Source organism: Homo sapiens, chromosome 20 (genome assembly GCF_000001405.40).
Source record: "Homo sapiens chromosome 20, GRCh38.p14 Primary Assembly".
Taxonomy (NCBI): Eukaryota; Metazoa; Chordata; class Mammalia; order Primates; family Hominidae; genus Homo; species Homo sapiens.
Window position 1 is genome coordinate 38,003,053 of NC_000020.11, and position 16,415 is coordinate 38,019,467.

Consider the following 16,415-nt stretch of genomic DNA (forward strand, 5'->3'; position numbering starts at 1 on the left):
TGGGGTCGAGTGATCTTCCCACCTCAGCCTCCTGAGTGGCTAGGACTACAGGTGCATGTCACCATGCCCAACTAATTTTTAAATTTTTTTGTAGAAATGGGGGTCTCACTATGTTGCCCAGGCTGGTCTCCAATTCCTGGGCTCAAGCAATCCCCCTGCCGTGGCCTCTCATAGTGCTGGGATTACAGGTATGAGCCACTACACCAGGCTAAGCATGGGTTTTAATGACAAGAGAAATGCTTATAAAATAATATTGTCTTAAAAAGACAAAAAGCACAACACAAAATTGCATATGCAGCATGAACACTACTACATACGTTTTTGCATGAGAGGAAGTACAGCAAAATATTAAAAGTGACAGGGTAATGAGATAACAGATGACTTCAGTTTTTTTCCCTATGCCTTTGGTCTTTTCTAAATTTCCATTAATGAATATTTAAGATAAAAACAAGATATTTGGGAGGTTGAGGCAGGTGGATCACCTGAGGTCAGCAGTTTGAGACCAGCCTGACCAACATGGCAAAACCCCATCTCTACTAAATTACAAAAATTAGCCGGGCATAGTGGCGGGCGCCTGTAATCTTAACTACTTGGGAGGGTGAGGCGGGAGAATCGCTTGAACCCAGGAGGCAGAGGTTGCAATGAGCCGAGATCGTGCCATTGCACTCCAGCCTGGGCAACAACAGCAAAACTCTGTCTCAAAAAAAAAAAAAAAAGGGAGAGATAGCAGGGTTCTCGTGTGGAGGAGCCTTGAAGCTGGGAAGTTCCATGGCTGGCCTCTGCTCTGTCCTTCACTTTTTTGTCTCCTCTTGATTCATCCTTTGATTAAAAGGGGGGTGCACATCTGTCTTCTCCACCAGCCTGTAAGAACTTCTGATGGCCAGAATCAAACCTTACTTATCTTTGTAGGTGAGGTAACAAGGGCAGCTTGGTGTAGTTCATAGGGCATGGAGTTTGGTTAGAGGAGGTTGGACCAAGTCTTGCCTCTAAAACCTATTAGCAACTTCTTTCATCCTACATTACCTCATCTGGAAAAAAAGGGATAGAGCATGTATACCTCACATGCTACTGAGAGCATTAAATGAGATATTACCAGTCATTATCATTCTCACTGTCTAGAGTGCTGCGTTGCATGAGATAGATGTAAGTTTGTAAACGGAAACATCACCACAAGATTTGAGAATTGCATGAAACCCAGGTCAAAATCCTTACCCTGAAAAATTTTCCTGATCTACTTACAGCCCCCAGCCTCATGCCAACCCTGATTACCAGCTGTGCTCATTTCCACTGAGCAGAGCACTGCTCCCTTAACTTTTTCCCATTTCAGTTCCCTCTGCTGGAAAGACAGACTCTTACAGTAGAGGCTGCACCTGTCTCTAACAGATGCTGAAAAGATAAATTAAAATGCATTTGTAGAATGCTTGGATTTCTTGGAGAAAGGGACCTCAGATATACAAGGTGCTTTTATGTGCTTAAAACAAAAAACTCATGTCAAGCCAGCACTGAGGCAAACATTCCTTAGAATGCCAAGTGTGTGGTGTGTACTTGATGAATGATAAGCATGATAGGCCTGTGCTTTTTTCCCCAGAGGGGAATTTGTTGTTTGAAATTCACCTATTGCAGAATCTTATTTGAGGGATGTGGATTTTCCTGTTATTGGAAGAAGGGTTTGACTCTTTCAGTCTGCTCTACGTGAACATCAACTAACACCAGAAGATCCTAATCATGAAGGAATGGATTCACTGACAGTGCTCAAATTTTAAACAAGAATGGCAAATCTGGATTATGAGGGATCAGAATGCCTCCCCTGCTTCAGCATTTCCAGGTTTGGGTGAAGGGTGCAGTTCACAAAAAGGACTGGATTGGCTCGAGAAACAAATCTGAGAAGAAAAAGCCTGATAGATTTCTGATCAGAAAACTCTGTCCTCGGGGAGAGCAATGACTCAATTCTGCATAAATCATTATTTGGGCCCTGTGATGCCTTTTCTGCTATTTAGAAGGAATTTGTTGTAGTGAGTGGCATCAAGCTACTATTTCCTGTTACACTGCTGGAAGTACTGGCTTCAGTTCACCAGAATCTCACAGTGGAGATCACCAAAAGGAGGAAAAAAACAAAAAAAGGAAAAGAAAAGAAAAAGAAAAAGAAACGTTTTATTCCAACCTCACAAACTAATTTGGGACTCGGTTCGATTTAGGATGGTTCTGAGACCACCAAGCTCATTATGACTTGGCATTTTATATTTGCAGAGGAGATCCTAATAATTTATTAATCCTTCCGTGACCTGAAGCTCCAGATTGAGCTTGTGAATAAAACAACAGGCCAGAGCTTCAACTAGCCTGAACTCCCTTCTTCTTTATCATATAAATTGGTAAGAAAAAGACTGCAATCTCCTCCCACCAACAAACAAATGGACAAAGCATATAAATAGACAATGGGAATAAGGAAAAAAAACCTGTTAGGAAAGAAGCTTATAAAGACATTCAACCTCACTGGTAATCAAAGAAATGCAAGGTAGATAACAAGACCCATTTTTCACCTATTAATTTAGGAAGAAAACTGGAAATAGCCAATGTTGGTAAGGCTGTGGTGAAACCAGTATTCATCCTGCACTGCCGAAGGAAAAGTATAAATTGACACAACCTTTTTGAAAGGCAATTTGGCAAGCATTAAATTATGTTCATATCCTTGACCCAGAAATCCTACTTCTGGGAATTTAAAGAAATATGCAAAAATAAAAAATAAAAAAATAAAAAAAATAAAAAAAAAAGGTCACATGCACAGAATCATCCACCGCAGCACTGTTTATTAGAGTTATTATTAAGCCAGAAGCAACCTAAATGTCCTACAGGGGATGGACACTTAGTAACAGCTATTAAAACGTTAATGATCAAAATTCAACGGCAATAAGCAGAGTTGCTTATAACTAAACACAAAAAGGGTACACAGCTGCAACCACGGAAAAACAGTTTTGTAACAGAAAAGAATGGAAAAAGATTACACAAAACAGGAGAATAGCTATGTTAGCCTGGTAAGGTTATGAGTAACTTTTCTTATTTCTACCCTTTCTGTAATGATGTTTCACCATTTTTACAATAATCTGTTTCAGAAAGAAAAAACCAGCTAAGCCAAAATAAACAAGTTACCTTCTTCATTATCAAAATCCGAGACATTTCCATCTGCCACATCCTTCTCTTTGAGGTAGTTCAGCAAAAACTGTTCGATGTCTTCAGCTGTGGTGGTGCTCTTCTCAAGAGCTGCTGGTCTTTGGTTCAAATGACTTCCCTCTTCTCCTAAACTTTGCTCTTGGAGGTGCCCAAGATTACCTGTGTCTGGGAACCACTGGGCTGTAAATAAAGTGTTACAATGATCACCTTGGCTATTAACAACAGGCATGAGTACTTTATACACAGAATAAGCTCTCTGCCCTGGCCTGCACAGCCCCCACATGATTCAGTCCCTGCCTGGCTCCCCGGCCTCCCAGTTGCCCATTAACTCATCCTTTTCCAGTTCCCCCAATGCGGCAAGCATTTTCCTGTTTCAGAACTCTTGCATAGGCCGTTCTCTGTGTCTGGAATACCTCCCATCTACTTCACATCTGGTTAACTCCAAATCACTTTTCACATCTCAGAACACATAGAACTTGCCCGATAAGGCCCTCCCTTGACTCCCCTGTTTAACTTAGGTCACTTACATGATGTCTTATATAGCACTCTGCTCTTTCTCTTCATATCAGCTCATCACAATATGTGATTATATATTTGCGTATCTATTTATTTGTGTGTACTATTCAGTGTCTGAGCCTCCCATCAGACTCTATGTTCCATTGGTCACCACTGGAAATCTAATATGCCCAGTGTGGGTTCCAGCATCTCTATTCCTTCAACCAACTCAGCTCTAACTGCAATCATTTTTGTATGACAGGGTTCCACAAAGACTCTTAGGAGAGCAATTTGATAACTCTCTCAAAAATTTAAACATAAACCCTTTAAACCAGCATTTTTTTCCAGGATTTCATCCTATCGATATGCTGAGGCATGTCCAAAATGACCTACAAAGATATTGGGTGCTCAAAGTATATGCAAAAGAAAAAATACACAAGACTGGCAAACACGTCCAAGTGACAAAATTCTGAGTACAGAATATACCACTCATTAGCAGAATACAGGCTTTACAGAGTCTTGAGAATGGATGGTCTCACCTTGTATTTCTCACATAAAATGCTTCAGAAAGCTGGCCATTTTCTCTCCAAAGTCTTCCCTATTCGGTGGTGCTCAAATACCTCTGGTAAGTCACCACAGAATAAACTTCTAACATCACTGGGTCCCGTGGTTTTCAAACTGTGCCTTGAGGAGCCTTAGGGCTTCACAGAAATGTCTCATGGATCACAACAGGGAGGGCACCAAGAGACGGTGGGCTACAGGCATGGGTTCCAGGGTCTCTATTCCTTCAAACAACTCAGCTCTAATTTCAATTATTTTTGTATATCAGGGTTCCCCAAAGGCTTCATTTCAAAAAAGGCTCTTAATACTTAAAGAATAAAACAACAACAACAACAAATCCCACAGCCTGAAAATCACTGCTCTGGTCCAGTGCCCTCCTTTTGCAGACAGCTGGGAAAAAAACTCTGATAACCTTTAGCACCTGCTAATCTCCTTTTCATCAAAGAGCATCTGCACAGAGCAAGAGCAGCAGCAGATGGGAGATGACAGGGCCAGGCAACTGGCAGTATCAGAGAGCAAATGTGTGAGGTGTGAGCCGGAGGTTCCTACACCCAGGGATCCATTATGACATTCTTCAAACTGCATCCCCAGTTGTCTATCAGCTACTTAGTGCACTCTAAGGCACTGGTTCCCAAATAGTTAAAACCTGGACCCAGCATTTACACTGCTAAGACTAGATATGCTGCAAAGATTATTTCTAGATTCAAGGCTGGTGACAGACATTAAAATGTCTTTGCTCACAAATGGCTTTTAAACATATGAAAAGAAGCTCAATCTCACGTTTAATGCAAATTAAAACTATAATAAGGTGCTATTTTTCTCCTATTGGATTAGCAAAGATCAAAAGCTTGGTAATACACAGTGTGGGTGATGGCGTGGCAAAACTGGCACTCTCGTACATTGCTGATGGAGTTTAAATTGGTACAACCTCTTAGAGAGCAATTTGATACTCTCTCAAAAATTTAAACGTAATACCCTTTAAACCAGCATTTTTTTCAGAAATTCATCCTATTAATATACTGAGACATGTCCAAAATGACCTACAAAGATATTCAATGCAGCATTTTTTGTGGTGGCCAAAGACTGGAAATGACCAAAATGTCTACCAAGAAAGGACTGGTTAAATACACTATGGTGCAGACGCGTGATGGAATACTATGCAGCCATAAAAAGAATGCAGCAGCACATTCTCCAAGTTGTGAAGTATGTGACATAAATACTTATTTTCAAAGCTACCCTATTTTTTTCTTGTTATGAATAATCAGCTAACCAGCAGTTGGGATTAAGCAGTAATTAACTGATGCTTCTTGCCCTTACCGTGGCACCTAATGCTTTTTTAGTCACTGCATGTGACACACTATGTTAATGATAACTCAATTTCCTAAAGCTCTTACTGGGTTCTTCTAAGGCCTTTCAGAAGTTCTCTGAGAACACATTTCCACACCCATCTTAAAAGAGTGGACGTCAGTTAGATAATTCTATGACAAACAGAAATGACAGCAAAAGGTACTACTCTGATTTATGAGTGACTATACCAACTCCACCTGAGTACTACTTCCTGTTCAAAAAGTGAGTGTATTCTGGGTTATTTCAAAACTTTCATAAAAGCTAGCTCTAAGTTTGCTTCTGTTCCAAGGAAGCCCCAGAGTCAGTCTTAACCATTCAATTTTCCTTTCTGCAAGGGAGACCCTCTCCCTCCACCTCATTTTTTTTTTTTTAAAAGCACTACAAAGCTACACAGGAGTCTTGACACTCCTCCTTCAGAGATGACCGAAGACATCAGCAATCTAAGACAATTCAATTTTGAAGGCCCAAATTCAGATACCTCTTGAGAGATATATTTCACAGGGCTTTTCTTAACCTACATTTTAAAAATTTCAAATTGAAACATAGCATAGGTCGCTAAAGCAGTACAGGTGGGATATATTTGGCCCATGGAAGCCAGTCTTAGTCTGCATAAGCAACCAGTCAGTCCTATGAGGGGCTCCACGAGGGCAGGCCTAAGTGGGTCTTATTCATGGCTGACTCCCCAGTGACTAGCCCACTACACAGGCTTCCAAGTAGCTGCAAAATAAAATCCAAACTCCTTCTCTTGCTCCTCAAGGCCCTACCAGGATTTGTCCTTGCCCTTCTTTCCAACTTCATCTTGCAACACTCTCTACAAAGGCCTCTTTTCCATTCTCCAAAGACCCATGCCCCTTCTTCCTTCTGGGCCTTCCCACCTGAATTTTTATTTATTTATTTTTTTTTTTGAGACAGTCTTCCTCTGTCACCCAGGCTGGAGTGCAGTGGTGCAATCATGGCTCACTGCAGCCCTGACCTCCCTGGGCTTAGGTGATGCTTCTACCTCCCAAGTAGCTGGAATTACAGGCATGTACCGCCACTCCCAACTAATTTTTTTCCATTTTTAGTAGAGACGAGGCCATACTAGGTTGCCCAGGCTGGTCTTGAACTCCTGGGCTCAAGCAATCCGCCCACCTCAGCCTCCCAAAGTGTTGAGATTACAGGTGTGAGCCACGGCACCCGGCCTGAATGTTCTTAAAAATAAATGTGATAGCCCCCTATGTGTTGATGGGCCTTTCTCATCCTTCAGGTTTTGGCTTTAGTGTTGCTTCCTCAGAGAGGCCCTCCCTGACCACTGAACTTATAGGAGCCTGTGTCTGTTACACTGAGGTGTTTATTTCCTTCACGGTGTTTATCAGAATCTGCCGTGAGCTTGTCTAATGATTTGTTTACTTGTTTATCATCTCTCTTGCAGTGGCAGGGAAGTTCCATGAGTTTATTCGTCTTTTTCTCTGCTCTATCTTCATTACTTAGCACAGTGTCTGACATATGGCAGGCACTCTTGAATGAATGAATGAAAAAGGAACATTTATGCTGAACGTGAATGCTCATGCATGAATAAACAAACACTGGAAATGGCATTAGCTACAGGGCAGTGCACTGTCCCTGCCCCAGTTACCTTCCATGAGAATGTTTCTTACAAGGTCTTGGCTTTTTCAACTGACAAAATGAGGCCAGTGACCATTCCACCTTCTCAGAGGCTATTAGCAGTACTGAGATAAATACTGGAAATATGCTCTTTAAATAAAAGGGACCCAAGCTATACAGCTTATTATTTTCTCATTGAAAGATTGACTATCCAGTTGAAGGATTCCTTTCCTTATAATTGAAGTCCAAAATTTTGCCATTCCTTTTTTTTTTTTTTTTTTTTTGAGACAGAGTCTCACTCTGTCACCCAGGCTGGAGTGCAGTGGCGCGATCTTGGCTCACTGCAAGCTCCGCTTCCCAGGTTCAGGCCATTCTCCTGCCTCAGCTTCCCAAGTAGCTGGGACTACAGGCGCCCGCCACCACGTCTGGCTAATTTTTTTTTTTTTATTTTTTAGTAGAGACGGGGTTTCACCATGTTAGCAAGGATGGTCTCGATCTCCTGACCTCTTGATCCGCCTGCCTTGGCCTCCCAAAGTGCTGGGATTACAGGCATGAGCCACCGCCCCCAGCCAATTTTGCCATTCTAATAGTGGCTAACATCTTCGGTAAGCACCCAATAGGATCAGTGGGAAGAAGAGAAACTTAAACCAACTCACACAATTAAAAGGTTAAAAGGAAGTTTCTAGACCTGCTCTGTCCAGTATGGTAGTCACTAGCTACATGTGGCTATTAAAATTAAGTAAAATATAGAATTCAGTTCCTCAGGTGCACGAACCACATGTGTATAGTGGTAACTGTACTGGATAGAACGAATAAAGATTATTTCTATCATCAAAGAAACTTCTCTTAGTACCGTTCTAGACAATATGTGACTGAATAATTCACGTTATATCTGTTCTTCATTAGCATAGATACTGCTAACTCTATGCATCATCAGAAGCAGTTTGCTATACTGGAAAGAACAAAACTGTCATAAATCCTGATTTTATCATTTATTAATTGTGTGACCCTGGCTAAGTAGGATGTCACTGACCCTTAGTTTTTCTTATTTATAAAATAGAAATAATATTTACATTTATTCTGCAGGGTTTATACCCTGGCATAGAGCAGGAGCTCAATAAATGGTAGAGATTACTGAAAGTATAAAAGATAAACAGTGAAACCCCCCCATAACCTATGGGACTGGAGAGAAAATGATTAAAACGTCCTCCATAGCATCACCACAAACAATGCAAAAAACGAGGCTAAGCAAACTAGGAGACTGAGTCCTGTCCCCCACACATCAGCATTAAAAAGGGCTCTCAATGTACCTAATGCTGCCATCAGAGCATGCAGAACGCTGACAAAGGAAGCAGCTCTCTTATCGTAAAATTGGTCCAGGGTGGCCAAGACATCTTGAACCACATCTGCCACCAAAGGAAGCAGGTTAGCATCTGAGTTCCGCAGCATGACTTCCAGGACCTTTGGGGTATGAGGATGCAGAGCCAGATGACGCAGATTTAAAGAGATCCCATTCACTAAATAGTCTGAATTTTGATTGATCAGGTGCTGCAGGGAGTCGTAGCCACAAGCACGGCAAACGTCCATCATGGTGCTGGTAGCCACCTGACTAATGAGTAGGGTTTGGTCTCCAGCCTTCTCCAGTACTGGATAAAGGGCTGACATCAAGAGCAAACAGAAGTCTTTTCCTAGTGCATATGCAAACTGGCCAATTCCTTCCAACTGAATGCATATTTGCCAGATGTTACTGTTCATGGAGCAAATAGTGGGACTTGGCTTTGAGAAGGCTAGAAAAGATGTAACTTGGCAGGTGTGTTCACCAGACGTGATGGCTTGGAGGCCTGGGTGCTCCATCATCAGCTCCTCTCCCATTTCCTCAGTTTCAAGACAGGTAACCAAATACCAATTTTCTTGACTTGTGTATTCTTCAAGTATAGATGTCACAATCTCTCTCAGTTCTTCTGGGTTTGTTTTAATATGTTTTTCGTGAAGATCCTCAACCTCCAGCCCAGCAGCCCCTGTAACCAGTTCATTAAGGATCATGGCAGCTTGCTTCCGGTAAACCACAGATTGATGGTAAAGTTCCATAAAGTGATCCACAAGCAAATAAAGATTCCCATAATAACCAAGTAGCTGACAAACCTGCCTCAAGAGCATGAAGATTCTCTCATCAGTGAAGAAGCGGAAATATCTCCTCTGGATGCGGTTCCAAGGCTGTGTGGCTGAGGTCTTTGGAGAAGCATTCAGATCATCAGAGTTCCAACGCCGTTCCTCAACAATCTTGATGTCAGCCACGTCTAGCTCTAGAACTTGGATGAGTGCTTTGGAAAGCCGCTGGAGATGGGCCACAGAGTTGAGGACAAAGTTTATTTTTGGGCCCAAGAGTTTCAGATAACCAAGTAACAAGGAAAGAGTAGAGAATTTGCCCTGGTCATCTTGGGAGTTCATTAGGCGAGGAAGAGATGTGGCAAGGGAATGCAGGCTTTCTGACAAGATGTCAGCGAGGGCTTTGTTGCCCACCACTACTTTTTGATCTGCAAAATGTCTCAGAACTTTATTGCACTGGGCTTGGATTTCAGGACTCTCATCATTTACTAGTCCCACTAAGGCCTTCAGAAGGGGACCAGCACATTCGACCAATGATTGACTGCACTTCAAAAGAAGGTCCTCCACAAGTTCTACCAGTTCCAGTCTCACCTTCCAGTGTGGGTGAACAGAAACACACTCAATTATCTTTTTAATAAGGATAGTCAACTTGTCGCCAGTCTTTTTTACCCAATCTGCTTCCCTGTAAACCATCAGCTCTGCTACTCTGTGCTCAACTGCAGGTTTTGCTTGGACCTTTGAGATTCTTTTGAGCTGTTCATCAGCCATAATGAAGCTCACTGTCTTGTAAAAGATCTTTAGGGAAGATACGACAATGCTGTGACCTTGTTTAAAGTCTCCTGTGATAAGCCTGGTCAGTGCAGTTGAGATTCCAGGTAAAAAAGAGGCAAACAAATCCCCCAGCTGCTTTTGTTCAAGTTCATCCAATGACCTTGGATGGTCCTGACAATCACACTGCAAGAGTAGAACCTGTAAACATTTTAAGGCAGCAATTTTAATTTGCTTTGATTTCTCCTGTTCTGCAAGGCCTAACAGTAAAGATACAGCAAATCCTAAACGTGGCAGAATGGAGGGCTCATAAAAAGTCAGAATGATGTCCCCATAAGCTGAGTGCATTAATGTGCTAAGTCCCTGGATCACAGCCAATTTCAACTCCTCGGACACAGCCGCAGGTTTTTGGGAGCTGGGTGAATACAGACAAGCAGAGAGTTCTGAAAAGAGTTCCTGGAGAAGCTCCTGTTCTTTCACACATGTTGAAGAAAGGACAAATGTGAGGCATTCCACCACACTTTGGATCAAACGCTCTCTTTTGGGACCTGGGGTCTTCAGGGTAAATCGCAGAGGGAAGAGGATGTACTGCTGAAGTTCCTGAAGGGCACTGTCACTCACAGCTTGTAGTCGTGTCTGCAGATGCTCCACATTCTCCACTGTCTGGGTCTTTGTGAGCTGAACACAGACTGGACGTAAGACACCAAAGGCCTCCTCAGGAGTATCAAAAACTGCCATTGTGCAGCAGCCTTCCCCTCATTGAGGAAACATCCTGCAGGCTGGAGGAAGGAAACTGTTCAGTAAAAATGTCAAGTTCAAAGCAAGTATGAAGTGAACTTGCATTCATTCATTCAACAGACATTTACCTGGGGTCTATGTGCCAGCCACTGCACAAGGCACTAGGGGTGCAATGAAACTGAGCCCCCTGTCTAGTGAGGGAAGTACATGTACAGTTACAATAAAGTCTCTTCAGGATTAGGACAGGCCTAAGCTTACAGTCCTGAGTGTGGAAGTCATATCCTGAGGAAGCCAGGATGGGTCTCACAAGAAAATTATGCTCGAGGCAAGACTTGAGGGAGGAAGGAATAGGAATCTGTGGACTATTTTCAGGAGTTCGGATTTTAACCTTCAGGAGTTTGGATTTAAACCTTCAGGTTTCATCTTTTTAAAACTGAGGTATACATATAGTAAAATGCACTATCTTAATGTACAGCTCAGTGAATTTTTGTGTTTGTATAGAACAATGTAACCACTTCCCGAAGTAAGATACAAAATAATTCCAACAACCTAGAAGGCTCCCTCATGTCCTTTTGCAATTGATTCCTATTTCACCTGCCTGGAGGTAACCACTCTTATGACTTCTATCACTACAGACATGTTTTGCCTGTTCCTGTCATTAAGAGGTTTAAAGCAAGGGGTGATATGGTCAACTTTATGCACTGAAAAGATCCCCCAGGAGCCTGTAATATGGGAGAAGGATCAGAACTGGGTGAGACTGACAGCAACATAAAGCGAAAGGGGGTACCCAGAGAGATGGGAAAACTGGGAGCACACACTATCACAGAACACACAGGAGAAGACAGAGTCCAGCAGGATGGAAAGATGGACAGCAGGCAGGCAAGCAGGCGAGCAGGCAAAGGAGAAAGGATTACAGGAAAGCAAAGAACAACTCAATATCCAAGAGTCTGTCTTTTTTTTTGTGAAGAGAAATTCAAAGTCATGGGCTGACAGTGAACAAGGAGAAGGATAAACAGAGGGCTTGAGGAGAGAAATAAAAGTCTCAAATACTCCCTTTGGGGAAGCAGAGCATGCTGGGAAGACTTACAAAAGTGTGGCCCAAGGGTACTGAGGACTGAGCTGAGTTGGAGACCATAAATGTGTATAACTGTAAAATGTCGGCATTGGATGGAGGCTTAGAGATCATCTAGTCTGGTGGTCTTGTGGTCTTTCTTTTTTCTCTACTTGCTGGGGGCTTTTGAAGAGATGATAAGAAAGTGCTTGTGCTGCTTCTGTCTACCCCCAATTCCATGAACACTCCCGAACTCGGTGGCTATAGATTGGCAGGCAAGTCGTGCCAGCGGGCGTGAGCAAGGCCTGCTCAGTCCAGAAAGAGAGCTGGTGCCAAATTTCCCCATGGAGAGACTCTGATACGCTGGAGAGTCTGGTCTACTGACCTCCCTGGAACCCTATGAGGAAGGGCACTGTTCGTCACTGTGAGGCTTCGTTGGGGTGTATCTCATGCTCTCTGTGGCCCCAAGAAGCCAGAGAAGGGAAGAAGCTTGACTCTTCCCTATCTCAGGCTAGAAAAATGCCACGCGTGGCAGCCACAAAGCTTGGCTGGGGTCTAATGACATCCCATGTGCACTGGCTCATACACTGATGAACCAGAGGCTGCTTTGCCACCTCCCTGCCTGAGATACTGGTAGTTGGATCAAGAAGTAGGAAAGAAAGAGAATTGCTTAATGGGATCCAGCAGTCATGGGTAGAAAAAGCATTTGAGCACTCCTTGAGGTGGTGAATCTTAGATTAACAGAACCAGAAAAAGAGGCAGATAAGAATTTTAATAATAATAATAATAAAAAGACCAAGTTCAATTATGACACCAAAGATGTCTCTTAGAATTAAAAGCATAATTTTCCACACACAAAAAAGCTCCACTGATGAAATTTTTAAAAAGACAGTTAATTGCCAAAACCCAATTAGTGGCCTAGTAGATCAAGTGGACCTGTCTTACCCAAAGCAGGGATGCAGAGACGCAAACTGTGAGACTTGGAGGACAGATCTGGAAGAACCAGCATGTAAGGGGGAATTTGAAAGGAGAAACATTTCCCTTAGCTGCAAAAAGATTTATCTGGAGACCGAAAAGCCTTGAAGGATACACACCTGACCACATTCTGGTAAAATTCCTTCACTCTAAATATGAAGAGAAAAATCACATATGCTTTGAGGAGGAAATGACAAATAACAAATAAAAGAAAAAGAAACTGGCTTTGAACTCCTCATTGGCAACAATGGATGCTAGAAGACAGTGGAATAGCACCTACTTACTGCAAATAAAGGATTGTGGCCCCCAAATGCCACTGAAGATGTTCTTCTGTCAAGATGGAAGAACAACATGCAAGAGAGGGTATTACCCACATATCCCACCAGAAGAAGACACTTACACTGCTGAGGAATTTTTTTTCTTTTAGTATGGAGAATTTTCTTCAAATACAATGTTTAAGTGGAAGCCTGGTATACAAAATGGACAAAATCAGAGGGTGTCTTGTAAAATCCAGGGTGAAGGCAATGGCCTAGGGCTCTCTCTCTTATTTCACTGTAGGAGTTTCAAGAAGATAACTTGGGGTCCGCCCCCTGACAGGGTGGTGGTTCCTAAACTACATTCTCAGATTATATAACAAAAACCGTAATAGAGCTAATGAAATGGGAATACACAGTATGTCTAACATTGACCTCATCGCTTTCTGCCATATTCCCTTGGTGATTTATAGTCAAGCTAGAAACCCTAGAATCTCTGTTTTCTTTCACCCTCTCTTAATCCCAACATTCCCTACATTTCATCAATTCCACCCCTTTGACACCTTTCAAATCTGCTGATGATGATAACCAATGTGTTTCATATTGGGTCAACTCTCACAGTTTCCTCTCTGGCCCTTTGGCTTGTTTCTTGCCCTCCTCGAATTCACATTTCACAATGACACTTAAGTAATCTTTCTAAAAGAAAAATCTGATCGCAATTCTCTAGGCTTAATTCTTAAACTGCTCTCCATCCTGCATGAAGGGCAGATACTTCTAGGTAGAAGCTATACCTAAGCATTACCATGGCATACGGGGCCTTTCACCATCAGGCTTCTGCCTGTCTTGCCAACCTCATTTTTCATTATTCTACCACTTTGATCTCTAACCTGCAATCATGTAAAATTTATAAAACTTGCAATTTTCTAAACAGGTGGTGCTAGTTCACATTTGTCTCCTTTTTCCTACCCCTGTACACACCTCTATGACAGTATTTGGCATGCTGTATTATTTGTGTATATGTCTGTTTTACCTAGTTTAGACTAGAGGCTCTGAGAGGGCAGGGCAATCCTATACCTAGAAGCTACAAGAGCATCTGGCACATGGCAAGCCCTCAAAAACATCTGTACAGATTCTGCTTCCAAGTAGGATATAGTATGGTTTGGCAGGCTAATACTCCTGCCAATGACTAGAAAAAGCCAAATAAATTACAAAAATCATTTCTTAAAGCATCCAATACTTGTGGAAGCAACAAGGACTAGATGGACTAACAGACTGAGAATGTTCAGAGGGAATCAACAATCAATAGCTTGTGTGTGTGTGTGTGTGTGTGTGTGTGTGTGCGCGCGCGCCTTTGGTGTGTGCGCACGAGCCTTTGGTGCATGTGTTGATCCTGGACGTGGGCTTGGGATTAGGGTGTGGTTATCATTGGGGAAAGAGAAACCACAATGCTTTCGATGGTCACCTGGGGCTGGACAGACAAAACTGCAATCTTGAGGGACCTCCAAATACCCAACTTCTGGAAGAAGGCTGCTGCTGAAGACAACCCAGTAGAGATTTTGGTATTCTTCAAAGCTGGGGTAACAAAGCTGGAGATTTGATGGACTCGAAATACTTACTTGGTTGGGGTCTTCCTCAAGACATTTAGTCAATTTTGAAATGATGTGAAGTAGTGGTAGGCTAAATAACTAAGCTGAAAACCTTAGGGGCAGAAGTGAACCTCCTAAAGGCTTTCATGTCTAAGGAGACAAATAGCCTATTAGGCTTTCAACTGAAAGCCCTGGAGGACCATACTCTAATAAGGATGAACCAAAGTAAGTTTGGGGCTTACCAGGATTGCAACCCAGCAGTGACCTAGCTCAATCCCTGAAATACGTCAGACTAGACTGAAGTATTTAATTAACAGAAGAAAGGGGCAAACCTTGATGGTGGAAGATATATGCATCCACTATGATTCTTTTATATAATGTTTGGTATATAATAAGTTTTTTAAGCATGTGTGGAGGTAAATGCCCACAGCTAGTAATCAAGAGAAAAAACAGACATTAGAAGCAGACCTATGGATGGCCCAATTACTGAAGTTTAGTAGTCAAGAACTTTGAAATAACCAAGATTAATAAAGTCAAGAAACAGAGGAAAAGACCAAAGTAAATGAAAGGATAAATAATTTTATCACAGAATTGGCTGAAATCTATAAAAAAAATCAAATGGATACTTTAGAACTGAGAACTACAGTATCTATAATTAAGAATTTAATATAAGATATTAACAGTAAATTGGACTTAGCAGGAGACAAGATTAATGATTTGGAAGATAGGTCAATAAAAAATATTCAAACTCAATTAGAAAAATGAATGGTAAACACAGATAAGAACATAAAAGACGTGGAATAAAAGACGTGAATAAATGAGTCTCAGAAGACAGCATAGAGCAGAAGCAATACTAAAATGTTCAAAACAAATGAAAGAGATCAACCCACAGATTTAAGAAACTCAGCAACCCAATTATTTGGCCAATACAAAGAAAAGAACACACAGACATCATAGTCAAACTGCTGAAAAACAAAGAAAAAGAGGAAAACCTTAAAAAGCAGTGAAGCAATAAAAATGACAGCTGACTTCTCAAAAGAAATGACAAAATCCAGGAGTCAATAGAATGCTATCTAAAGAAAATAATTCCCAACTTTGATTTTTTTTTTTTTTAATCTATGGACTAGGGAACCAACTTTGAATTTTACAGCCTATAAAAACAACATCTTTCAATAAAAAGGTAAGGCTGGGCATGGGTGGCTCACACCTATAATCCCAGCACTTTGAGAGGCTGCGGTGGGTGGATCACTTGAGCCCAGGAGTTTGAAACCAACCTAAGCAACATGGCGAAACTCCATCGCTACAAAAAATACAAAAATTACCTAGGTGTGGTGGTGTGCACTAATAGTCCCAGCTGCTAGGGAGGCTCAGTTGGAAGGATCGATTGAGCCTGGGAGGTTGAGGCTGCAATGAGCTGTGATTGTGCCACTGTACTCTAGCCTCGGTGACAGAGTGAGCAGGTCTAAAAAAAAAAAAAAACAAGGGTGAAATTCAGATATTTACAACAAACAAAACCTGAGGGAATTCATTGCTATCAGGGCAACACTAAAAGAAAAAACAATGTAAGAAAATAAACCTAGACAGAAGCATGGAACTATAAGAGGGAATGAAGAAAATGAAATAGGTAAATATAAAAAAATTAACTGTACAAAACAATAACTATTATGTCTTCTGTAGTTTGTGTATATATAAAACTAAAATGCAAGACAAGAATAATTCACAAAAGGTAGGGAGGGGGAAGGAGTTAAGTGTCTAAGAGTCTAGTAGTGTAATGAAGTGATAAAA

General features: G+C 41.7%; 1 protein-coding gene across 11 annotated transcripts in view; it reads right to left on the reverse strand.

The window, feature by feature from the left end:
* TTI1 (TELO2 interacting protein 1) overlaps nt 1–16,415 on the reverse strand; it is a 50,436-nt gene that overhangs the window by 20,032 nt on the left and 13,989 nt on the right. For 6 of the 11 annotated variants that reach the window (XR_001754440.3, NM_001303457.2, XM_017028148.3 and 3 more), the window contains exons 2-3: nt 8,463–10,805; nt 3,145–3,345 (exon numbers count right to left, since the gene is read on the reverse strand). Coding sequence is in view for 9 of the 11 variants with exons in the window: in NM_001303457.2 (NP_001290386.1) it covers nt 3,145–3,345; nt 8,463–10,764 (2,503 nt within the window). In the remaining 2 variants the exon portion in view is untranslated. Of the gene's footprint in view, nt 1–3,144; nt 3,346–8,462; nt 10,806–10,892; nt 16,093–16,415 lie in introns of those variants that run through there. The other 5 variants (XR_007067483.1, NM_014657.3, XM_047440608.1 and 2 more) reach the window with 2 other exon arrangements.